Raw genomic sequence first — 27769 nt, 5'->3', positions numbered from 1 at the left:
AAAAGAAGCCTGCATTAGTTATCCCCATCCACTCTTCCCACCCTCTTCCATTAAAAAATAATTTATACAAGTAATCATCTTTGAAGCCAAAAGCGATTTTAGAGGAAACTTCAATCATCTACCGTTTAGAGTTTAAAAAGCATCAAGCCATACCAAATGCATAGCTAAGTGTTAACACTCTTCTCTGCCTAGAGAACCTCCCCTTTTTGGTCTCCTAAGTCTCTCGAAGATTGAGGGGGTAGGATAGTGGCAAGAAAAGTTGGTCGTGCCTTGTATATTACATGTGTTTTTGTGCATATATACAGATACATGCATACATAAACATACATCTTGCATGATTCTTGTGTGTTGTGAGAATTAAAGTATGCATCATAAGAGCCCGGATATAGTGAAAACCCCAAATATTTCAGCTGTCTTCCAGAAATCCTTCCTTCTAGGTCAACCTGCAACTGCTTTTAGGTTGTAGCTATATTTGCTCTGTTTTAAATAATGAATTATCTCTTTAGAACTTCACAATTCTCCTGGCCAGGCATTGGCAGAACTACTAATTTACAAAAGTGCAATATGGTTTACTTTTCTTTTAGCAGCAGCATCTACTTCTTTCATCCAATTAATTTCAAGTGTGCCAGTTTGACTTACTACTCTTCTGTCCAGGAAATTGCAGAGACATTTCTGACTACTGTGAACAATTATAGCAGAAAATAAACTAATATTCATGATAACATTTAGCATGTAGCTTTTTGTATGGACCAGGTACAACTCAAAGGGCTTTACATCATTTTTTTCTTTTCATCCTCATAGTAAGCCCAAACAGTACATATTATCATTATTAACTTTCTGATATGGCATTGGGTTAGGGGAAGAATAAGTGACTTCCTCAAAGCAATGCTGTCACTGAGTATCAGTGTCACCATCAGTTCTGCATTCTCATCAAGCACTTTCTGACTTTACAAACTTCTCTTAGTCCTCAGATTAGGTCACTTCCTTATGTTTTGGATCCTTCCATTCTTCTTCCAGATCCACTCCCCACCCTTTCACACCCTGCTGCATTCCAAAGGGAGCTGACAAGAGTGTGTGATAGGCAAAGACACTCTGGCCCTGTGCTTCCTAATGAATCCAGTCCACGATGAGCACCAGAAGAAGGGCAGAGAGGAAGACACAAGGGAAGGCATGGATTTTATGGTCTGGGCTTTCCCATGTGCGGGAGGGTAGCTGTGTTCTTTCAGGCGGCCCTTTCACCTGGGCTTCTCTGTCACTGGGTCTTGAAAACCATTCCTTCCCTCACCCTTCCAAACCTGCAGTTGTTTCTGATTTCAGGATTCTGCATGGTCCTCTGTAGTTTCCTCCACCCTGCCCACATCTTTGGAAATGGTCTTCTTATCATTCCCTTTCACATTCCCTTTTATTGATTCCAATTGAGTGTGCCATTTGCTTCCCATGATAACTTGACTAATGGATACATATCCTTGTCTTTCTATAATTCTGAGCACAGTTCTTTCCTTTTAGAGTACTTACCATTGTTGGTTAGTACAGACAAGAGCAGAGAAACGTATTTATTTCCTAGCTGAGTTGTTTACTCTTTAGTCTGTATTAGGGCAGAGGCTATGTCCTCTTTACTCAGTCTTGTATCCTTGGTGCCCAGCAAAATGCCTGGTGCTCAGATGGCACGGGAAAATATTCATTGACTCAATAAATGCCTCAAGGCAAGCAAAGGGTGGTTTATAAGATATCTCTGTAACTTATTGTTTGTCTTTCAGAAAACAAGAGAGACTAGAACACCATCCCAAAGCTACTGAGCAGTTTTTTCACTTCAATGCATGAATGAACAAGCATTTTGGACATTTAGCATAGTAAGTAGGAAACTAGCAGGCATTCCAGGCCAGAAACCTAATCTCTAAAACCATATAGATTCTTTTCCTCTAAAAGGAATTGAGTATTGTGAAAGTGATGACTGGCTGAGAAATGACCAGGTTTGAGGCCTGAGATTTCATGTCCACATCAGGTTTTGATGTAGCCTTTTACAGTGTCCCTTAAAAAATGTCTATGAAGACATGGAAAAACAATAAAAATCACATCACAACAATAAACTAAGTTTGACAAATATATAACTACATTCCAGAATGAATGTTTAAAAGGCACCTATTGATAGACTATGGAGAAGGGGTACTATGGCTTATGCAACAAAGACTGCTCAGATATTAAAACGTAGAAAGATACAGTACTTTCTACCTCAACTCTCCATCCCCTCACTCAAGTCTTGGGTCTGTACCAAACAGGTAACTTGACAATTCTCTTCCTACCATTTAAAAAAAAAAAAATCTAAAATGTATAAACATCAACTTGTAGCTTCGTTAAAATAATAATGATCTAGTAAAATAGTCATAGGGATATAGTTTCTTAAAAAAGAAATAATCTCTTTCAAAACAACAACCAATATTACCTTTATAGTGTAATAGTAAAGGTAGTCTAATTAAAATCAGAAGCATGACTAAAATTTAATGGTACTATTATTAAACATTGTTCTGGAGGTTGCATTCAATATACTTAGCAGAAACAAAAGCAAACCAAAATAAAAAGAACAAAATTTGAAAAAGAGGAGACAAAACCATTACTCCTTACAGATAGTAGATACATATATAGCATGGGCAAACTTTAGTGCAGCAACAGAGAGTCTATTTAAATAGGCGAGTTCTTAAAAGCGTCCAGTATACAAGTACTCCAGTGTATAGAGTCAATAAAAACTTTCAGGACTGGCCGGGCACGGTGGCTCACGCCTGTAATCCCAGCACTTTGGGAGGCCGAGGCAGGCGGATCACGAGGTCAGGAGATCGAGACCATCCTGGCAAACACAGTGAAACCCCATCTCTACTAAAAATACAAAAAATTAGCCAGGCATGGTGGTGGGCGCCTGTAGTCCCAGCTACTGGGGAGGCTGAGGCAGGAGAATGACATGAACCCGGGAGGCGGAGCTTGCAGTGAGCCAGGATCTTGCCACTGCACTCCGGCCTGAGCAACAGAGCAAGACTCTGTCTCTAAAAGAAAAAAAAAAAAAAAACTTTCAGGACTTTGCCAGAAGAAAAAGAAAAGAAACGAAAGAAAAGAATGGGATCCTTATTGAAGTACATTTAAAGAAGAATGTTGGAAATTAAAATCCAATATTAAAACAGTGCTAATTCTACCTTATTTTAAGTAACCCTTACATGTTTTTTCAATTAAAATAGTGGTTAACAGTTAACTTTGTAATTTTTTTTGTTATGGTTATTAAACTCCTGAAACACCTGTGCTTGACCATACTCAGCCATTAAAGACTCAGTCTTGAAGCTACAGAAGTCTCAGATGGTTGAAGTCGCAGGAAGCAAGGTGCACTGATTTACTGGCATTCTGTTACTGTGAATCATCTATGGGTAGATGTTTCCTTGGTGTCACATTTTTGGATTTCATCATGAATTCCTCATGAGGTCCCATCTGTTGGCAAGGCATTATGGGAAGAGCAGGCATTTTGTTCTCCAAACAGCTGTGTCTGGAGCGGAAGCTCTCTGCGCTTCTCAATAGGAGAGTGCATCCCCGAGTGCGCAGATGACAATAGATGAAGTTGGAGTAAACGCGGGGCAGCCTGACATGAGGAACAACACAAGCCTAAGTAGACATGTATGTCTCCACCATGTCCTCAGTACTTTTAAAGCCTGGAAAACTTTCTTTCTTTCCAGCAAAGGAGATAGGAAAAACAGAGTGTTGTTTTGTTTTCTTTGCTTCCTTCTCTCTCCTCCCCTCCTCTTCTTCTGTGAAATGATGGTGTCCCAGAAACTTGTAGACTCCAAGACTTCCGTGGGACTTTAAGGGTTGACCCTGTCTTCTGCCTCTTATATATATCAGTAAGTCAATAAATAACTGCTTTGTATCCTACACACCTCAAATCAATGCATGTGTTACGCAGAGGTGCTTAGTCATGGTCCTAGAATCAAACTAATCTGGGCTGAATGCCAACACTGCCACATTTTGGCTGTGTGAACATAAGCACGATCCATAGGAAGCATTCTTTTTTACCTGCCACATTTCTCCTATTTGTAAAATGAAGATAACAGTATTGCTTACTTCAAGAGGCTGCTGTCAGAATTAAACACAATAATGTATGAAAAGTGCTTAGCATTTTACAATAAATATTTCTTTATCTACTTTAGTAATTAAGTTGTTAAAAATAAATAACTCAGTAATCTATTCTTTAAAAGAAATATTTCTTCTGGCTGATATTAGTCGGAATATCTTTGGTTGTAAATATAAAAAAAAAACCCATGGAAGACAATTAAAAATTACAGAGAATTCAGTGGATTATGTAATTTAAATATCCAGAGTGAGTTTAGGTATAATTTGGTCAAGGTTATGATTTATTTATCCTTACTTTTTTTTTAATTGTAATTTTCTTGGCTCAGTTTACTTCAGTGTTTTCAACTGAGTGTTCAAAGAACCTTCATTTCAAGAAAAGTGGCTGTAGAAATCCTATATTTCTTGTTTGTGTCCCATGGTGTCCAAAATGAGATCAATATGTTTAAGATTCTAAGGCAAAATGTTGACTGACTTTGTAATTGGACCACAACTCAAATCAGCTAATATATCTAGAGGAAGCCATGGTAGCAGTTGGCTTAGGCTTGGATGAACTGATCCAAAAACTGTGGCAAGTAAGATATGATTAACCCACCTATTTCAATCAGAGCCCTTGTCTCTAGAACTGGAGGTGGGTTTATGGGAACTTTGAATTATCTATTTAGGACAGTTAGGAAGCAATTAAGGACTTTGGAAATACAGATATATGAATGAAGCATTGTGAGGACAATATTCTACCAGTAGACTGCATATGTCTGTATTAATAGAATAGCATTTTCTAAGACTTCCTCCCTGAGTTCTCACATTTGCAGACACGGTACTCACTTTTAGCTTGATACCTGGAATCTCAATCATGCTAAAGTCTGTAGCCAAGCTCAACCATTAATGAGCTGCAAGATTTTCAGCAAGTCATATCTGCTCCCTGGACATCAGTGTGGTCACTTGTAATAAAGGAGGCTGGATTAAATGAACTCGAAATTCCCAGTAGTTCCATGGGTCTCTATGAACACAATACATTACCTTTATAAATGGGGAAGATGGCCATTAAGCAATTTCTCAACTTCTGTTCTGAAAATTACACAAAATGACCCAAGATCCTTTTATCTTTCTTCACTAGGACTATTTCCTATCCCTTTTATCTCTTTGTTGATATTCTAGAGGTCTGCTTCAATATTTTCTCCACATCCCATTCTTTTTGTGAAATTTCTAACTGAAAAAAAAATCTATTAGAGATATCAATAACATCTAAGTAAGGAGGTCTCTATTTCAAGAAATCATTGTAAATTTTGCCTGTGTGTTTAGCAATACTTTGTTCTTGCAAATTTTCATCTTAGACAATTTTGACAGTTGTTTAAAATATATTGCTCTTTTTGAGTTTACAGTTATTTTTATTTGTTGTAAAATTTAAATACAATGAAATTTACAGTTATTACACATTTACTGAATTTTGACATGCATCCACCTGTGTAGCCCAACCTCTTATCAAAAAATAGAACCTTAACATTGTCTAAGAGTGTTTCTCATGTTCCTTCCAAGTCAATCATCACTCCCATGGCTACAGAAGAAACCATTATTTTGATTTTTCCCCCACAGATTAAATTTGCCTGTTCTGGAACTTAATATTAAAAAACATGCAATATGTGATTCTTTATTGTCAAAATTCAGTTGACTAGATTTGTACGTGTTAATCTCTACAGATCTTTATTCTATTCTACGGGTCTATATATACTTATTATTTGGCCAATCCTATACTGCTTAATTTCTGTAACTTTATAGTAAGCCTTGAAATCAGTTATTTGACCTTTCCTGCTTCAATATTCTTTTCAAGTTTGTTTTGGCCCTTTGAGTTTCTTTGCCTTCCTGTATGAATTTTATGATGAGCTTATTGATACCTATGAAGAAAATTCTGGTAGGATCTGCAGATAAATTTTCAGAGAATTGGCATCTTCATAGTATTTAGACTACTGATCCAAATGTAACTTTTCATTATTAAAATAAAAAACGTCTTGCGGTTTAATTCCTAGCTATCTAGAAAAAAGAAAAAGCCGGGATTTAAAATAGTGGCACTAGTCTTTGGAAGAGAGGAAAAAAATCCAAAAGTCTTGAGGAATCTCTGACTATGGATAAGAAATTAAAAAATTATAATTTCAATAAACTAAACAGTCATTTTTGAGATCCAACTGTTGGTGGATTGATTGACACCAAAATAAAGTAAAGATGCTAAAGCAGATCACCGAAACACGTTCTGTGTCAATCTTCAAATTGATCAAGCATGGTGAAGGGAAAATGTGGTGATAAAAGGCAGCTGAGAGCCATGCAGTAATAAGTTGACAGGGGCTTGGTCTAGTTAACTCTTTTTATATTCTGAACTTACAAATAGAAAATACTTAAATGGGATCAACTCTTTCAACAGTTGCAATACATTTTTGGTTTTGGTGGGTTTTTTGTTTGTTTGTTTGTTTGTTTGTTTGTTTGTTTTGAGAAGGAGTCTCCCTCTGTTGCCCAGGCTGTAGTCTGGAGTGCAGTGCTGCCATCTCAGCTCACTGCAGCCTCTGCCTCCTGGGTTCAAGCGACTCTCGTGCCTCAGCCTCCTGAGTAGCTGGAATTACAGGCGCACGCCACCACACTCAGCTAATTTTTTGTATTTTTAGTAGAGATGGGGTTTCGCCATGTTACCCAGGCTGGTCTCGAACTCCTGATCTCAAGTGATCTGACCCCCCCGTCGGCCTCCCAAAACGCTGGGATTACAGGCATGAGCCACCGTGCCTGGCCAGTTGCAATACTTTCACAAGAAATCACAAAACTAAGGGGTTAACTACAATAAACACATTTTTGATTCACACTGAATCTCTTGTTCCAGAGTTGCGAAGTTATTGTGTTACCAATAAGTGATGCAGATGTTCAGGGAGACAAATACTCATCATCCATATATCATATGAATATTTCAATATTCATATATTGAAATATATGTTCCATCAACATATATTTCAAAATATGTTCATGGAAGGATAAAAATTTGAATTCAGTACTAAGTAATAGTTACCTTTAGATTTTGGGGAAAATTGAGAAAAGTTAAAATCATGCTAAAAATGCTTTGCTGCTTTTCTTTATGCCTTACTCCCTGTCCCCACCATATCTTACTTCTTTCATTCTGACAGCAAGCATCAGGTGTCCTCAGTGGGCCAGTCTCTTGCTATGCTTTGAGACCACAATCATATCTTTACTTCTCTCTCTGGCTCCTTATTCCTGTCAATGAGTTCCAGCTAAATATCATTGCTTCATTAAAGTTATTCTAACCTAAAGAAAATCCTTTTCTGTTATTCTTTATACAAGTCACTTATCCCTTATCTATCTCCATCATTACACTTACTTGTTAATTTTTCTGTTCTTTTTTCTTCCAGTACAATAAACACCATAGTATCCCTACTACTTCACTGGATGAATGAATTAATAAACAGTTGTCTTCCCTGACTACTTTGTAAATTTTTAGAGAGAAGAAACTTTCTCTAATTCATCATTTGACCTGAATACTCTGATCTCAAGAGAAATAGCTGTAAAAATATTTAACATACGAAGTGTTACAAAGGTAATTATAGAATTTTGCATAAGGTAGGTGGAGTTATCTCAGTAGGAGTTCTTCAATACCCCAGAGAACACAGAAAGATTTCAAAGAGGCAATAAGCTACACGCTGGGTCTTCAAAAAATGCGAGGCATATACTTGGCAGATGAAGGGGCTCAGCTCAGACAATCTTACCAGTTTTGCTGTAAAACTTAAATCCAGTCATTTATTCTCTCATTTAATAAGCATTTATCAAGATACTATGTCAGCTCTATCCTAAGCACTTGTGATACATGGTAATGAACACCAGACATAATGTGTGCTGTCATTTACCTTAAAAATCTCAACTCCATGAAGGGGGTGAACATTAATTAAATAAACATAAAAGATACAGTGCTTGAGTGCATTAATCATTTTTCCTATATTATTTTATTTAGTTCTCACAAATGCCTTATGAGATAGTTACTATGATTAGCACCCACTTTATAATAATAAAATTGAAGAAAAAGAAGGAATTGAAGATGACAAACCCCCACACCAGGTAAGCCAAAGTAGGATTTATACTCAGACTAATTCCAGGGCCTGAGCATTGGAATCATGTTGAATATAAAGTCAGTGGTACATACCCCCAAATATGTTATGTAATATGAATTATTAAGAAATAAATACTTTAAAAAATTAAGTCAAATAGCAAAGTACAAACTGATGTGAGGTTAGATTTGAGGGTTAGACAGGACGAAGCTTGCAGTGGCCTTGTAGGTCTCGTAAATATATATATTTTTTCTTTTCAGAGCAATGGGAATCCACAGATGGGTTAATGCCAATGAGGAAGAGGGTAGGCAGGGTGATGTGAAAATATTGGAGATGGTCCAGAGGTCTTTGATAAAACCAATAAAGAGGTCCCGGCTACACAAAAGGCTGAGGCAGGAGAATCGCTTGAACCCAGGAGGCAGAGGTTGCAGTGAGCTGAGATCGCGCCACTGCACTCCAGCCTGGGTGGCAGAGCAAGACTCCTCCGTCTGGGGAAAGAAAAAAAAAGTCATTGCATTCTTCTGGATAAAATTAATGGTAGTTTGGAATAAGATGACAGCTATAATTAAAGCAAAGATGAGTGGATGAATTTGAGAGCTCTTTAGGAAGGTGTCTAATAAAAAATATATTGATGGAATAAAGTATAAGGAGACTCTAGCACAGTAGTATTGACTGAGAGATACAACACTACGTGGCCATGAGGAAGGGAATTATTAGGAATAACTCTAGAGAGTAAGATAGGCTAGAATACAGCTTGTTGTAGCTTGGAATGGAGGTAGTGTGCTAAGGTGGATAGAGCTTTCAGTTTCAATATCATGCTTGCAGTTAACTTTCTGAGTAACATTGGGCGAGTTATTTTTCCTTACGGGAACTCCATTTCTCATGCAGAAACTGATCAATAACCCAGGAAGATTTGAGATGAAGTAACATTGTGTGTGTGACAGAGTTGCAGAGTTTCTGGCTCGTGGGAGGAAGGAAAGGCTACTATTAAAGTTATGAATTTGGCATAGTAAAGAACCTTCTTCCCTATAATCCGTCTCAAGTACCAAAAGTACCCAAATATCTGAAGTCATGATGCAGCTTGATTTTCAAGGGTAAAATAGATAATTTATTCACCAATTACTAATTGGTCCACAAAAAATATATAGAACTCGTTGTATATGCCCTGCTAGACCATGCTCTTGGAGCCTACATTCTGATCTCTGAAGCCATGTAGAAAACATAGTAAGGGAAGCCTTCTTACCAGGGTTTACAAAATTTAAATAGGCAATTGGGGATTTTGACACAAAATATTTTTTCCTTTCATTTTAAATTATAAAACGTAATTTCAGACCAAGAATTGGGAGGCCGGGCGTAGTGGCTCATGCCTCTAATCCCAGCACTTTGGGAGGCCAAGATGGGTGGATCATTTGAGGTCAGAAGTTAGAGACCAGCCTGGCCAACATGGTGAAACCCAGTCTAAAAAACCAAACACCGCATGTTCTCACTCATAGGTGGGAATTGAACAATGAGAACACATGGACACAGGAAGGGGAACATCACACTCTGGGGACTGTTGTGAGGTGGGGGGAGGGGGGAGGGATAGCATTAGGAGATATACCTAATGCTAGATGACGAGTTAATGGGTGCAGCACACCAGCATGGCACATATATACATATGTAACTAACCTGCACATTGTGCACATGTACCCTAAAACTTAAAGTATAATAATAATAAAATATAATACAAAAATTAGATGGGCGTGGTAGCATCCCAGCTACTCAAGGGGCTGAGGCAAGAGAATCGCTGGAACCCGGGAGGTGGAGGTTGTAGTGAGCTGAGGTCCGAGATCATGCCACTGCACTCCAGCCTGGGCAACAAAGTGAGATTCCATTTCAAAAAAAAAAAAAAAGATTTGGAAGATCCAAATATAATAAATAAATCTTAAGAATTAATTTAGCTGTCCATTCATGGTAGCATTAAAAAAAATTGAGAAATTTAGAAGCAATATTATCTAGATATTAAGAAATACATATCAGATGTGATTCAGGTTATATCTAATTCTGTGGTTGGTATCTTGCTAATATTCATAATTTATTGCAAAGACAATTTTCCCAAAGTTTTCTTGCTCACCCAAACGAGGTGGGTAATAAATTAGATTGAGTCATGGAAATTTGTATTGAGTTGAATGAATAGGAGAGAGGAAAACTCAATTTTCCAAGGGAAAATGCATAGTAGATACACAATGTGTAGCAGATTTTCTGAGGAAAAGAAAGTAATATAGGATGTGGTGCTGTTCCCATTGTTCCAGATCTCTCAATTTATTTATTTATTTTTATTTTTATTTTTTTTTAATTGAGACAGAGTCTTGCTCTGTTGCCCTGGCTGGAGTGTAGTGGTGCGATCTCAGCTCACTGCAACCTCTGCCTCACGGGTTCAAGTGATTCTCCTCCCTTAGCCTCCTGAGTAGCTGAGATTACAGGCACCCGCCACCATGACCAGCTAAGTTTTGTATTTTTAGTAGAGATGGGGTTTCACCATGTTGGCCAGGCTGGTCTTGAACTCCTGACCTCAAGAGATCCGCCCGCCTCGGCCTCCCAAAGTGCTGGGGTTACAGGCGTGAGCCACCATGCCCAGCCCAGATCTCTCAATTTACAAAGAAACTTTAATCTGCCATGCCAATCCAAGTAGCTAGGATCATTATAATAGATCAATGTAACTTGTCAGCATCCCAGTGTTCCTTGCAGAGAACTTGCCTTGATCTTCCAAACAAATATATGAATTTTAAAAGTTAACATTTAGTAGTTTGTGTTCATGCGCCTTTTTATTTTTAATTCAACCAAAGATTAAAAACTGTTGGAAATAACAAAGTAAATGGGTGAGTCTCAGTATCTCTCTTTAAAACCTTATAATTATAGTTGTGCATGTTTCTCTTTCTGAAATATAACACTAGCAGAACACAGGAAGCCCCTAAAAAACTGGCTAGCCATATGTAGAAAGCTGAAACTGGATCCCTTCCTTACACCTTATACAAAAATTAACTCAAGATGGATTAAAGACTTACATGTTAGACCTAAAACCATAAAAACCCTAGAAGAAAACCTAGGCAATACCATTCAGGACATAGGCATGGGCAAGGACTTCATGTCTAAAACACAAAAAGCAATGGCAACGAAAGCCAAAATTGACAAATGAGATCTAATTAAACTAAAGAGCTTCTGCACAGCAAAAGAAACTACCATCAGAGTGAACAGGCAACCTACAGAATGGGAGAAAATTTTTGCAATCTACTCATCTGACAAAGGGCTAATATCCAGAATCTACAAAGAACTCAAACAAATTTACGAGAGAAAAACAAACAACCCCATCAAAAAGTGGCGAAGGATATGAACAGACACTTCTCAAAAGAAGACATTTATGCAGCCAAAAGACACATGAAAAAATGCTCACCATCACTGGCCATCAGAGAAATGCAAATCAAAACCACAATGAGATACCATCTCACACCAGTTAGAATGGTGATCATTAAAAAGTCAGGAAACAACAGGTGCTGGAGAGGATGTGGAGAAATAGGAAAACTTTTACACTGTTGGTGGAACTGTGAACTAGTTCAACCATAGTGGAAGACAGTGTGGTGTTTCATCAGGTATCTAGAACTAGAAATACCATTTGACCCAGCCATCCCATTACTGGGTATATACCCAAAGGATTATAAATCATGCTGCTATAAAGACACATGCACACATATGTTTATTGCAGCACTATTCACAATAGCAAAGACTTGGAACCAACACAAATGTCCAACAATGATAGACTGGATTAAGAAAATGTGGCACATATACACCACGGAATACTATGCAGCCATAAAAAATGATGAGTTCATGTCCTTTGTAGGGACATGGGTGAAGCTGGAAACCATCATTCTCAGCAAACTATCACAAGGACAAAAAACCAAACACCTCATGTTCTCACTCATAGGTGGGAATTGAATAATGAGAACACTTGGACACAGGAAGGGGAACATCACACACCAGGGCCTGTTGTGGGGTGGGGGAGGGGGAAGGGATAGCATTAGGAGATATACCTAATGTAAATGACGAGTTAATGGGTGCAGCACACCAACATGGCACATGTATACATATGTAACAAACCTGCACGTTGTGCACATGTACCCTAGAACTTATTATATATATATAATTATATATATTATATATTTATTATATTATATATTTATATATTTATATATATTATACATATATATTTATATATTATATATATATATATATATATATATATATATATATAAATTAGCTGGGCATGGTGGTGCGCACCTGTGGTCCCAGCTACTCAGGAGGCTGAGGCGGGAGAATTGCTTGAACTGGGAGGTGGAAGTTGCTGTGAGCTGAGATTGTGCCACTGCACTCCAGCCTGGCAAAAGAGTGAGACTCTGTCTCAAAAAAAAAAATTAAATTTTATTTATTTATCTTATTTATATATATATTTTTGAGACAGAGTCTTGCCCTGTCACCCAGGCTGGAGTGCAGTAGTGCAATTATGGCTCACTGCAGCCTTGAACTCCTGGCTGACTCCCGCCTCAGCCTCCGGAGTACCTGGGACCACAGGCAAGCGCCACCACAGCCACCCAATTTTTAAATTTTTGTAGAGATAGAGTCTCACTACGTCGCCCAGGCTGGTCTCAAACCCCTGGCCTCAACTGATCCTCCCCCCTCAGCCTCCCATATAGCTAGGATTAGAGGCGCATACTCTTTTTTTTTTTTTTAATTTCGACTTTTTTTTTAGACTCAGGGTATGTGTGCAGCTTTGTTAGGTATATTGTGTGATGCTGAGGATTGGGCTATAAATGATCTTTTCACCCAGGTAGTGAGCATAGTACCCAATAGGTAGTTTTTCAAACCTTGCCCCCTCCACCCTTCCTGCCTCTATTAGTCCCCAGTGTGTGTCACTCCCATCTTTATGTCCATGTGTACCCAATGTTTAGCTTCCACTTATACATGAGAACATGCAGTATTTGGTTTTCTATTCCTGCATTAATTCACTTAGCATAATGGCTTCCAGCAGCATCCATGTTACTGCAAATGATATTGATAGATGCAGGAGGCAGGTAAGAGAGGGCCCCGGGAGAATTTCCGACCCGCCCTGCAAGTGTTTTCATCAGATGCTTTTGTGAATGAGGGAACTTGCTTAAGGCTTTCTGTGGACATGCCCACCATGGACTGGGGGCCCACCTGCACACTGGGAGAATGGGGCGGAGCCACTGGGGATTTGTGCCTTATGCAGAAGGGAGGAGCCTGGCCTTTTCAGCTCCTGTGTGTGGTGGCCTGGTATTTAATCTGTGAGGTGGGAGCCTGTTGGCAGGACCCCTTCTTTTTTAACTGGGAGATTTTTTAAAATAAATTCCACTCTCGGCCGGGTGCAGTGGCTCACGCCTGTAATCCCAGCACTTTGGGAGGCTGAGGCTGGCGGATCACCTGAGGTCAGGGGTTCGAGACCAGCCTGGCCAACATGGTGAAACCCCATCTCTACTAAAAAATACAAAAAAATTAGCTGGGCATGGTGGCGGGTATCTGTAATCCCAGCTACTTGGGAGGCTGAGGCAGGAGAATCACTTGAGCCCGGGAGGTGAAGGTTGCAGTGAGCCAAGATCGCACCATTGCACTCCAGCCTGGGCAGCAAGAGTGAAACTCCATCTCCAAAAAAAAAAAAAATAATAAATTTTAAAAACTTAATAAAATAAAATAAATATAAATTCCGCTCTCCTAAAAAAAATGAAGATATTAAAGTACTATAGGTGTTCAGAGAAGAATGTCACATTTTAAAAACCTGTAAAAAAGTTTAATGAGATCTGTGAATTCAGCATTAGATTAGGGAATGTGATGGGCAATGAGAATGTTCCAGACATTAAGAACTGCAGAAGAACTACAAAGAGCATGATGGAGGAATCCTTGACTTGGTCCAATCCTATTTATCTTTGCAGTAGTTTTGGTCAGAAAGTCCTAGAATATAAATCATTGTAGGTCTTTGTGTATGGCCCATTCAAATACAGGAAAAAGCAAATTGTCCTCTCTCTACTCACACATACCACACAGCACAGAATGCTTCTATGACCATGTGTGTGTGTGTGTGTGTGTCTGTGTGTGTGTGTGTGTTTCCAGCACACCAAGCAATTCTCTGGCAGCATACACCAGTGGGGTGTCCTATAATTTAATTCAATTCTGACAGTATCTACCTGAAGATAGCATCAGATTTCACAAGTTGAGGGCTCAGTCCCACAAGACTTCTCCCCACTTCAGATGCCAATCACTACCCTCAGATTATGACCGGTGCTTCTGACCAACTGGCTATAAATCAGAGATCCCACCACCCCTACTGGAATTCAACTAATTTACTAGAGTGCCTCAAAAAACTTTAGTAAACACTTTACTAGATATCACATCTGATATCGCTCTATTTCTCAATATCCAGATGATATTGCTTCTAAATTTCTCAAACTCTTTTAATGCTAACATAAATGGACAGCTAAATTAATTCTTAAGATTCATTTATTATATTATGATTTCCGGATCTTCTAATTCTTGGCCTGAAATTAGGTTGCATAATTTTAAATGAAAAGAAAAAAAATTTATGTCTACGTGTAATACATAATAAAATCTCCAATTGTGTATATATTTAAATTTGGTAAACTCTAGTTAGAAGGCTTCCCTTACTATGTTTACTAGAGTTCGGGGAAATACTTTACTTATGTCTACTCATATATTACCAGTACTTTACTTATATCTACCCGTATATTACCAAATATCTGAAGTCATGACGCAGCTTGATTTTCAAGGATAAAATAGATAATTTATTCACCAATTACTAATTGGTCCAGAAGGCTATTTTAAAGGCTACAAATGAACAGCGAGATCAATACATACATAGGGTGAGGTCTGGATGAATCATGAGTACGAGAGCTTCTGTCCCAGAGGGGATACAACCATATTCCCTGGCCTGGAAGCTCACTACACCCAGTCCTCTGGGTTGCTGGAGGCTTCATTTCACGGACATGATTGATTAAATCATTGGCCACTGGTGATCAACTCGCCTTTCAGTCCTTCTTTTCTCCCTGGAGGTGGAGGTAGGGTTGAAAGTTCCAGTCTTTTAACAACATCATTGGTTTTGTCAGGGATAACAAAAGACACTCCTCTTTCCTTTATCACTCCAGAGCTGTTCTACAATCCAGGACAAAAGGCCAAATATTCTAACAAAGGATACTTCTATTGGTGTAGTCACTTAAGAGTTACAGAGGTTTTAGGACCTCTGAGCCAGGAACTGCGGATCAAATCCAAAATATATGCAGTCAGCCCTCAGTATCTATGGGTTCCATATCTGTGGATTCAACCGATTTTGGACCGAAAGTATTTGAGGAAAAAAAAAGGATGGTTGCATCTGTACTGAACATGTACTACATGTATGGACTTTTTTTGGTCATTAATTCCTAAATAATACAGTATAACAAATATTTACATAGTATTTACATCATGTTAGTTATTATAAGTAATCTAGAGATGATTTAAAATATACAGGAGGATGTGCATAGCTTATATGCAAATACTATAGCATTGTATATGAGACTTGAGCATTCATGGATTTTCGTATCTGCAGGGGGTCCTGGAACTAAGCCCCCAGGGACACCAAGGGATGGCTGTATTTCACAATATCACAGGCTACTAGTGATATAGGCAGGCTTGGGGAGGTAAAGCCTATCAATATGACTTTGAGATTTGTGATCTGAGAGACCAAAATAGATACCCCTATATGGACTAAGATGGATCCTCAGGTTAAGAAAACAAAAGTTGGCTACTTGTGTTCAGGACTCAGCTGGCGTGGCATCTTCCTAAATTCCTATGGCTATAAGAAAACCACACTATTGCTAAAATCCCTAATAGGACCTATCAGGCACATCATCAGACCCATCCTAACTCAGATTTACAACCTAAACCACTACAACTCTTACTGGACAAAGGACCAGCCTTACAAACTTTTTTTTTTCTTTTTCTGAAAAGCAACTACAGACCTTGAGCCAGTTTCAGGCAGCTTAAAGAGCCGACACACAAACTTTGTGTCCTACAGGTCATCTTTTGATGTGAAGAACCACATTCTACCTCATTTTAATGTTAAAACCCTGCCACGCAGTGAATATGGGATATTTGTTACATATATGTTTACCCATTGCACATGTTCTTGACTCCTCTCATAAATATGTATATCTTTTCCCCCAAAAGTGCTGAATATGTATGCATCTATTCTGTGACACAGGTGCTATAATGCCATAAAACCCAAACTGCCCTTTCCCTCTTCAAACAGAGTTCCTTGGGCCATGCTGGAGACTGTCTCTTCCTGGCTTGCAAACTAATATTGCCAATAAAACTCTTCTTTCTATAATTTATCCCTCCTGGTGGTATATTGGACAATACACTTCAAACATGAGTGACTCAAAGTTGTGTGTAGTATGGAGTTTTTTTTTGTTTTTTGAGACAGAGTCTTGCTCTGCCACTCAGGCTGGAGTGCAGTGGTGCGAACTCAGCTCACTGCAACCTCTGTCTCCCGGGTTCAAGTGATTCTCATGCCTTAGCCTCCCAAGTAGCTGGGATTACAGGGGCCCACCACCACACCTGGCTAATTTTTGTATTTTTAGTAGAGACAGGGTTTCACTATGTTGGCCAGGCTGGTCTCGAACTCTTGATCTCAAGTGATCCACCCCCTTGACCTCCCAAAGTGCTGGGGTTACAGGTGTGAGCCACCGGGCCCAGGCCTATAGTGTGGTTTTAAAAAAATGTTCCTAGCACAAGAGAAGGAGTAGATTTAGGAGAAATTATGACATCATTCTGTAGATGTGTGATATTTGAAATTCCAGACAAATGTGCCTTTGGCGATTATAAACACAGCACTGAAGTTTGAACAATGGTAAGAAGCCTGCAGCTGGATATTTACAGCACTCTCCATAGGAATAATTCTGTGTATCCCCATAGACTAAACTCCTTCCACTGCTAAATCCAACACCCATGCAGCTTCATACTCCAGGAATGCTAAACTTTGAATTTCCCAAATATTTTATGCTGTCCACTACCCCCATTCACTTTTCCCACTATTTCTCTTCACTTAGGCTGCCTGATTTATGCTAGACTTTCTAGTAAGTACCTACGAAACTTTTAATCATCAGTTTAAATGCTTGGCTTTCTGTGAAAAATTTCTGACCTTCCCCTGACTGATTTGAGTTTATTTTCCTTCTCAGTTCTTACTTCACTCTATAAACAGTGGGACGGATGCCTTGCTGCATTTGGATTATTTGCTGTTATGTGTATTTTCCCAATAGGCTTAAATATAGTTAAGGAAAGGCAGAGTGCCAGTAGTTTTATCTGTTCATCCTTGGGCCTGAGAAGTGCATGGGATGGAGTTTTTTACTAGGAAACTTACTCAATGGTTTCTTTAGCTAATGTAGGGTCTGAGAAAATGATACCACATAATGAAGTCCTCAGAAGCAACTCTCTCTGACCTTCCCCTGACCTCCTGTCTCTGGCCCCTCATTCTCCCCTGAGGCTAGTCATAAAAAACTAGAACCCCTTTTCTCCCAAGCCAGCCACAAACCCTAAAAATATTACTCCAATTTCCCTCCCTACCTTCCTGTGTAAAACCTGGCCTTACAGAAATTATCTGACCTACCTTGTTTCGTTATAGTCATAAGACCCCTATTCCAGAGAGGGTCATGTTCCATGCTCAGAGAAGAGAAATGAATGTGCAGAGAGGCCAAGACGAATCTAGATAGACAGGTCTTGCTGGATATTGCCACTAAGTCTGTTAGCATTAGGTTACAACCTTTTTTTGACCCTAATAGGTTCATTGCCTGATACCCATGGCAAGTCAATACACCAAGACACCAGCTTTCAGCAGAGAAAGAGGTTTAATAGTAGGGCCCTCGAATGAGGAGACAGGAGGAAACCTCAAATCCATCTCCCTGAGGAACTTGGGGTTAAGTTTTTAAGGATTTTGGAGTGGGCTGAAGTGTGGTGATCAGAGATCACTGATTGTTGAAGAGTGCAGGGTGAAGTCATGGAACAGGGAGAGGAAGAAGTTGTATCCACATGCTGATCCTGTTCCTCTGTGGGAGTCCTCAAACTGGGTTCGGGAATTCGGTGTCTAAAAAACATCTCCAAGGATCCTTAAACAGGAGCCTTATGATTCTAATGTCAGAATCCTGTCTGTGGGAACAATGGGGATGCAAATCAATTCTTAATCATTCTTGTGACTCTAATGTCAGAACTCCTATCTATAGGAACAATGGGGATGGAAAGGGTCGGTATCTGGTATTACCTGACTTTCAGCAACAAGGAAACAGGCCAGAATGCAGCCTGATTCATGCTTAATTATAACTATATTTCTGTCAAGAAACTGACATGCAATTCTTGTCAACCCTGTCAGGGTGGTTTCATTTTTGTCCCGAAATATTTCTACATGGCTGTCCATATGTTGTTGAACCCATGCATAAAAATGAACAGTTTCCCCTGTATCTTTGGGTCTTCATTCTAAAGACTCCCATGTCACATAAAACCATGACCAGGAAAATTTGTATGCCTTTTCTCCTATGGATCTGCCTCTTGTCAATGATTTTCAGTCAACAGATGGCAAAGGGGAAGTATTCTCTTAGTGCCCTCACTACTAAGAATTTTCTGCAAATGATATTGTTACTGGAAAGGGGTTCTGATCCAGATCCCAAGAAAGGGTTCTTGGATCTCATGCAAGAAAGAATTAAGGGTGAGTTCGCAAAGTGACAGCAAGTTTATCATGAAAATAAAGGAATAAAAGAATGGCTACTCCATAGACAGAACAGCCCCAAGGGTTATTTTTATGGTTATTTCTTGATGATATGCTAAACAAGGGGTGGATTATTCATGCCTCCCCTTTGTAGACCATATACGGTAACTTCCAGACATTGCCATGGCATTTATAAATTGTCATGGCATGGTGGGTGTATAGCATTGAGGATGACCAGAGGTCACTCTGTTCACCATCTTGGTTATGGTGGGTTTTGGATGGCTTCTTTACTGAGACCTGCTTTATCAGCAAGGTCTTTATGACTTGTATCTACCTTGTGCCAACCTCCTATATCATCCTGTGACTTAGAATGCCTAACAGTCTGGGAATGCAGCCCAGTAGGTCTCAGCCTTATTTTATCCAGCCCCTCTTCAAGATGGAGTCTCTCTGGTTCAAACGCCTCCGACAGTATTGTAAGCAAGTGAAATGACAAAGCAGATGAACATGAGACAAAAGCAAGATGGGGAAGAGGTTGAGCAAAACCTCGAAAGAGAGAAATTCAAAGCAAACCAGCACCCAGACTATCAGCTACCCAGAATCTAATGGACAGCACCTTCTCTGTACACTTCCATCCATCCCCTCATAGATTCTTCCTTTTCCTTAGCCTATTTCCCCGTGGGGGTTCTTCACATCAATGAGACAGGGATGTCATCATATTTGATGCATTATTTTCACAGCTAAAAATATTAAAAGGGGCCGGGCATGGTGGCTCACACCTGTAATCCCAGCAGTTTGGGAGGCTGAGGCAGGCAAATCACGAGATCAGTAGTTAGAGACCAGCCTGGCCAACATGGCGAAACCCCGTCTCTACTAAAAATACAGAAAGTTAGCTGGGCGTGGTGGTGGGCACCTGTAATCCCAGCTATTCGGAAGGTTGAGGTAGGAGAATCCCTTGAACCCAGGAAGCAGAGGTAGTGAACCAAGATCGCGCCATTGCACTCCAGCCCAGGTGACAGTGCAAGACTCTGTTGCAAAAAAAAAATATATATATATACACACACATATATATATACATACACACACATATATATACACATATATACATATGTGTGTATATATTCAAAAATATATATATATACACACACATATATACACATACACACACATATGTGTGTATATATATATATACACATATATACATAAGGTTGAGCAGATCACGAAAATTAAATAAGATCATCCATGTTAAATAAGTATTTCAGTATATATATACACATATATATACACATATATAAACATGGATGATCTTATTTAATTCTCATGATCTGCTCAACCTTATGTATATATGTGTATATATGTATATATGTGTATACATACACATATGTGTGTGTGTATATATATATATATGTGTGTGTGTATACTGATATATTTTTTTTTGCAACGGAGTCTTGCACTGTCACCTGGGCTGGAGTGCAGCCATACATATGTGTGTGTGTATATATATATGTGTCTGTATATATATATATAAAATGGTAAGTTTTTAAAATATGACTAACTCTTTGCAATTGTTTTATCTTTTCTTATTTTGTCATATAACCTCAGGACCTAGCAAAATACCGGACACATAAGAAAGACCCTCATTTTACTCTGTCAGGCTACTTGACATACTTACCACAAGGTAAAATAATTTGTGTATTATTTCCATTTGAAATTTAAATCTCAGTATTCATTAAGTAGTATTTATTAAAATATGTTGTAGATAGGGTTTAAAATGTAGAATCTCTCAAAGTTTGGTAAAGTTAGCAGAAATGATTCATTTAACTCATATTAACTTAATATTGGGTAATAAAAAGGATCAAATATATAATTAGTTTGGTTTTTTTAAGTCAAAAAGTATTTTTAATATTATAGCATTAAATTATAGTTACCATTATTAGTCATATTTATTCATGAGAAGTAATTTGATATCTTACAAAATAACCTAACATGTGGTATAACCTCTTGCAGTCTAATTTTTCATGGATGAGCTCTTGCATACTTTATATCCTCGGAGGTTATATTTTAACATAGTCTAATTACCACTTTCCTTTTATTTCTATTCAGTTTGACACAGCCACTTTGCCTAAAATAATTTAATATTCTTATGAATGAGATCGTGTTAAAACTAGCCTATAACATCAATCGCCTTTGTTTATGCCAACAACTCTATTGAATTAACATACTAGAATGTGAGAACAAATGGCCCTTAGAGGGAAGTGAAAAAATATTCTTCACAATTTTTAAATGATTGCCAAAGAATTTTAAGCATTTCTAGTTTGAATACCATTTAACTGTACTACAAGTCAGGGTCCTTAGTAGTCTAATTAATATGGATAAGAAAAAATACTTTCATCTCTCTCTTTTCTTCTATTGCATCCTTACCCATCCAACCAGGGCACCATGCTGCCAGACTGGTCCCAGGTGCTTTGGGTGAGACCAGAACATGTTTGGTAAAACATCATGTGGCATTTTCACATGCCTCTACACAGACACTCAGACAGCTGGTCTTCGCACAGCTGCGTTACAAGTGCTATTCCTGAAGGTAGATGCTTACAACCAGATCCTAATATTGACTCTTAGCAGTCATACTACTTTGGGGGAGATGTTACTTTCCTTAGCCTCAGTTTCCCAACTTCTAAATCAGGTTAATAATAGTACCTACCTCATAAGGTTGAGCAGATCATGAGAATTAAGATCATCCATGTTAAATAAGTATTTCCATCTGGCATATCATATAGGAAAAGTTCAAATACCATCAGTTGTTTATTATTATAATTACTAGCATTGGCCTAAATTTTAGACAATTATTCGTTTACTTTAATGTCAGTTATTCCTTTACTCTAATGTCAATGCTTCCTGCGTCCTTCAGGGTGCATCATTTAATGGAATTTAGTAGATGTCAAGGATCTAACATAACCTTAGGGACCAGACCAAGACCTTCCAAAAGGCTGATAAACTTCGTAAGATTACACAACGTGATCTTAGCTCACTGCAACCTCCACCTCCCGGGTTCAAGGGATTCTCCTGCCTCAGCTTCTTGAGTAGCTGGGATTACAGGCGCACAACCACCACACCCGGCTAATTTTTGTATTTTTAGTAGAGATGTGGTTTCACCATGTTGGCTAGGTTGGTCTCGAACTCCTGACCTCGTGATCTGCCTGCCTCGGCCTCCCAAAGTGCTGGGATTACAGGCATGAGCTAGCTTTTAGACCTGATTCTAGTATCAGCAGTTTATAAAATGACTGACAGTGATGTTACTCTAATAAGATGTGTTTCTATTAAGACATCAAGAGCAATGTAGAAAGCAAAGGATAAAAAAGAAAAAAATAATGATCATAGTTACTACCGTCCACTTCATAGTTAGCTATTGGGAAAGAAAAAATTGTAAACTGCAATGGGCCAAAGCCACAGGAAATAACTATTCACAAGATCATGATTGCGAAACATTGAAAATCTATAACAGACATTTATAATTTAATTCTCAGGATGTTCTTGCTAATATATTTTCCCTGGTTGAAAGTAGATTCAGTCTCCAGCAAATGTGGGTAACACTTAGAAATAACCAGAAACATATTGATTTGCAGATTTTATGTTTTGGTTTCTATCTATCACTGCAAACGTTCTCTGTTAAATACAGACATTAGCACCACTTCTGCAGAATGATCTCATCATGGTAATGCAGGAGAACAGTTTTGCAATCTGTAATGTCTTCAGAAAGCAACCCTAATGAAATAAATCAAAATATACATTTCTTTTCATTGCTGGACTCTAATCTACTCATGTGCTGAGTTTAATACTCATTCCAGGATTCTCAAATCTGATTGATGATGTCTTTGAACAGTTTGGAAAAGGATAATCAACCACAAAGCCCAACTTGAAGCTGAGCTGAATTTCCAAGCCTAAACATTGAATGTGCTTTGATTTATACTTGCTGAAAGGCTTAAAAAATTCAGGTTGTGTATGTATGTGTCATCATTCAAAGGCTTAAAATTCAATTCATTACCTGAGATATTTCTGTTTGTGAAGAACACTCCTGACTTACCACATGACCTTCAGTAAAACTTACAATCAGGATAGTGACCATCTCATGCCATTATTGGATAAATGTACACAATGGAAGCTACATTTCATATGTCATCAATATTAATTATATATGGTTTATTGGTGATTATAAATCAAATCTTGTGATTGCTGAAATGTTTTGAGTAATTAATCTAAGACATTGCTATAACATTCCAGTGCAGGAATATCTAGAATTCCTCTGAAATAGAAGTGATTGTAAAATACTTGTCACATAATATTTGTGGGGGTGGGAATAGTAGAGAATTTTGTTTCAGGGGTTCAATTAAAGACACCAGAATGGAGGCTGAGGTAGGAGGATCACTTAAGCCCAGGAGGCCAAGGTTGTGGTGAGCCAAGATTGTGCCACTGCATTCCAGTCTGGATGACAGACCGAGACCCTGTCTCAATAATAATAATAATAATAATAATAATAATAATAATAATAATAGTAACAACAAAAATAAAAAAAGAAAATGCAAAAAAAGACACCAGAATGTCATGTATTAAGATGTTGTAGTTACATTTTCATATTCTTCTGCCTTCCTCTCAGAATGTTCATTACACAGTAATTGAGAAATTCTGCCTATTGTATGTTTGTATGACAACATATAATTTACCTTTCCAGAGAACATGTTAGACATTTGATATGTATAATTACCAAATTTTATTTTCCTTACAAGCTTATTACCTCTAGTTAGGAAAATCAGACAAATAAGTGGCCTAATTCTTACTTTTAGCTACCCGAAAGACGATTTGGAAAGACAATTGTTTTTCACTGAGACCTTAATGTTATCTGATGACAGGTTAGAAAAATGAGAATTACTCTACAGGGGACTACAGATTGAAATCTGTAGTTATCACCGCCTTATTAGATGCATAAGAGAGCTAATGAGTTCATTTCTGAGCTGCTTCATTTTCCCATGGATGGTGAGCCACCAGGAGACTAATAACAGAGATAGTCAAAAAGACACAGATGGATGCAAATGTAAATTTGTGTGCTACCCACTTTGGGGTACGTGTGGCATCCAGGATGTTCCAGTCACACACCAGAGATAGGACCCAGTCAATCATTTATAGAAAACGCTCCTCATCGTATGGAAGTGTCCACCTCACACATGCCATAGACACCATTAGACTATTCTAATTCCCTACTCCTGAGTGGCAATGAGATTATAGTTGTAATTCATTCCGCTCTTGGCAATCATTAAGATTTTATTTTATTACATTTTTAGCACCTCTAGCATACCAGACTTTCTCTTCATACCTTATGATGTAAATTTTGCTATCTGATTTCACCTGAGTTGCCTTTAATATGCAAATTTAAGATGATTTAGCTGACAACTGCCTAGGGTAAGATTTTTTAAAATGGCAAAAACAAAAAGATCTTTATGAGTCTATGTGATGTGCTTCTACCAGCATGCCTAATACATGTATATATTTATGTGTGTGTAAACAATATTTTCACGACTAAAAATATATGAAGAGGCTAGGCCCAGTGGCTCATGCCTGTAATCCCAGCACTTCAGGAGGCCGAGGTGGGCACATTACCTGAGGTCAGGACTTCAAGACCAGCTTGGTCAACACGGTGAATCCCCATCTCTACTAAAAGTACAAAAATTAGCCGGGCATGGTGGCACATGCCTGTAATCCCAGCTACTCCAGAGGCTGAGGCAGGAGAATTGCTTAAGCCCGGGAGACAGAGGTTGCAGTGAGCTGAGATTGTGCCACTCCAGCCTGCCTGACTGAGCAAGACTCTGTCTCAAAAAAATAAATAAAACAAATAAAATAAAATACTATATATACACACACAAACACACATGTGAAGAGCTCTAATTAATTGGCTTTAAAAAGTGCTTAAATCAGATACTAAACAAAAAACACTAGTCAAATGCTTTTTCAAGTTCATGTGACTTAAGTAAAATCTTTACTAAATAAGATTTTATTTTAGTAAGGATCTAGCCAGCTTTAAAATTATTGGTAAAATAATATCAGCAATGTCTTTAGAATTGTTAGAATTTTTTTGCATCTATTGATCAAATGGTTTCATGTTTATTCCCACAGAATACTATAAGATTTGCCATAAGTGTTATAAACTATAAAATCCAGCCCAAGACAGAGTGATCTTTGATTGTATATGCTTATGAAATATTGTTAGCTTAAATGAAAACAGCTAAATACTGAAATATTGGTATAAATATCCTTAAAACTAACCATAAGTTTTATTACTTAAGTAAACACCTCAAATTCACAGCTATAAAAATCATTAATAGAAAAATAACTTAAAATATTGGCTATCACTTTTTTGCAAATAACCTAGGTAAACTACTAAATTAATCAGGTAAATGTAATGGAATAAATGCTTGTAAACACACTTGTCATAATTTAGGATTTAAGGTTATTATTTGATACTAAGTTTCTGGGTAATTTCCAATTTAAGAAATTTTTTAATGTTCTTATTAAGGTAAAATATCTTTGTCTAATTAAAACCTTATTTAAGAGTTATATATGAAACAAGGTAAACCAGGAAATGAGAGCAATATAAAGAAAGTTATAAAAATAAAGAGGTATTTTTGACCAAAAAAAAAAAAAAGCACCTCAAAAAATAATTACTGAATGAGAAATAATTGTTATCAAATTACTGGGAAAATTTAGGTAATTCAAAATTCTCTATTCCCAAACATGATTTTCTAGCTCTTAAATTTGCACAAATACACAAAGTCAGAGCCATTTATTAAGTAATAATCATCTCTGTTACCTTAGATTAAAAACATTATCTCAACCTCTATTATGCATAAAATACTTGAAGAATACACCTGACCTGCTTACAATACCCAGCAGCCATTAATTAGACTAAGGCAGGGAAAGAATAAAATAGATACTTTTAAAACACAAGATACATGTTAGGATGGGATTTGGTTATTTCTTTTAAGAAAAGTTAAGTTTACATACTTAGTTAAAAATTTATAATGGTAAGAGTTGCTATTTTGCCCATCTTTGTTGTAGCGGCCAAGGGAAAACTTCCCCTTTGCCCCCTGAAGATTCACTGAAAAGTCAATTGGCAAAAGGCAGATTAATAGGTGTTAAATTAAGTTTAACCTAAAGCTGTCTCCTCGGAAGTATGGCCTAAAGGTTTCTCCATATACAGTGACCTGTAAACTATACATAAATGCGCTGTAACTCATTTTGTACTAATCATCAAGTGTTGGCCAATCACAGGGCACCAACCAAATAAGAAAAACACTGAGCTGTAACCCATCCAGCTGTTTCTGTACCTCACTTCTGTTTCGTTTATGGCACTTTTCTGTCCATAAATCCTCTCCAACCAAAGGACAGCACAGGAGTCTCTAAAGCTATTCTGGCTCAGGGTATAGGCTGCTTGATTTGCAAATTGTTCTTTACTCAATTAAATTGTTAAATTTAATTTGTCTAATATTTTTCTTTTAACATAGGAGAAAAGGCATATGCATCTAATAACATGCATATGAGTCATACAAAATATAAGAACTCAAAGACGTGGCCAGGTTAGGGGAAAGGGGTAGAGTACAGATTCTCTACAGATGCAAATCTCCCCCCACATAAAACAGCATTGCAAGGCAACTTCTGTTAATATGTCAAAGAAGTATATTTTGTAGTGAAATATTTTGGTTTTCTTCACTGTGTTTTGCCAGCACTCGCAGAGTCAACCTATTGGAGGTATTAATAAAGTGAAAATACAAACACCATGTAAAATGAATAGCTTACTCTATCAAAGTTCTTAAATCTTGGGGTTGAAGGTAATCTTTGAGTAATATAGCTCAATATTGCACTCACAGCAGGTCTTTCCTTCTAAAAATATATATATTTTTAGTGGATACCTGGCATCTTTTGGATGCTTTTAAGGAAAGGATAGGACACATTTAGTGGCCCATGCTACCTTAAAATACTTTTATTAGTATTACTATAAATTTTATTATGATTATTAGGTATTTCTATCCCCTTGTGCTAACCTGAAACTTGCCTCCTATAGTTTTCACTCACCTTTTGCCCACAGGACTTGTGCAGAATCTCTTACAGATGGCAGTTCTATTCAGGTCCAATCAAACGTCTCCCGTCTCTTTAAAATGTTTATATGTCTCCAAGCACGCTACTTTTACCAGATCCAATTGGAGCAAATGGCTCAAGCAGGACCATCAAACATACTGCACTCTTCTGTGTCCTCAACACCTCATACCTTGTTAAGCACCCTTAGCTCACAGTTATCTTATGAGGTTTAATTGACACAAAATAATTCAGAATTCACGGTGTCAGCATTAAATACTAATGAGCTGTTTCTCCTGATGCCAGATTCACACAGATTTGAATATGTGTAACCAAAATCTCATTGTCTGAGGAACATTCTTCCTAGTCCGTCTCCTGTGCCTTTTGTGGACCCCCCACACCAACCTAGGATGGTTCTCAGTTCATTGCAATCCCTGATGCTCTTCCAGAGATCCTGAACCACACATAATCTCTCTTGGCTAGTATGAATTTTGCTGATGGCAGCATTTCTAAAAGAAGATGGAAAAATCAGACTTGCTTCTCCCTTCCCTCTTGCATAGGCATATTAAGCATCATTATCTTCAACACCATCGTCATCACCACCAGCACCACCACTGCCCTTCATTCATCCTATATTTATGCTAAATACTTGACATATCATAGCCAATCCTTAAAA

At 37.9% G+C, this 27769-nt stretch overlaps 1 long non-coding RNA gene across 1 annotated transcript in view; it reads right to left on the bottom strand.

Moving 5' to 3' along the window:
* Positions 1-27266, bottom strand: part of LINC02141 (long intergenic non-protein coding RNA 2141) — a 198621-nt gene extending 171355 nt beyond the window's left edge. The window contains exon 1 of the long non-coding RNA NR_110917.1: positions 27094-27266. This is a non-coding gene — a long non-coding RNA (long intergenic non-protein coding RNA 2141). The remainder of the gene's footprint in view (positions 1-27093) is intronic.
* Between the last annotated feature and the right edge of the window lie 503 nt (positions 27267-27769).

This window comes from Homo sapiens, chromosome 16 (assembly GCF_000001405.40).
Source record: "Homo sapiens chromosome 16, GRCh38.p14 Primary Assembly".
Lineage (NCBI taxonomy): Eukaryota > Metazoa > Chordata > Mammalia > Primates > Hominidae > Homo > Homo sapiens.
Note: the sequence above shows the minus strand (reverse complement) of the source record. Positions and strands in the feature narration are given on the sequence as shown.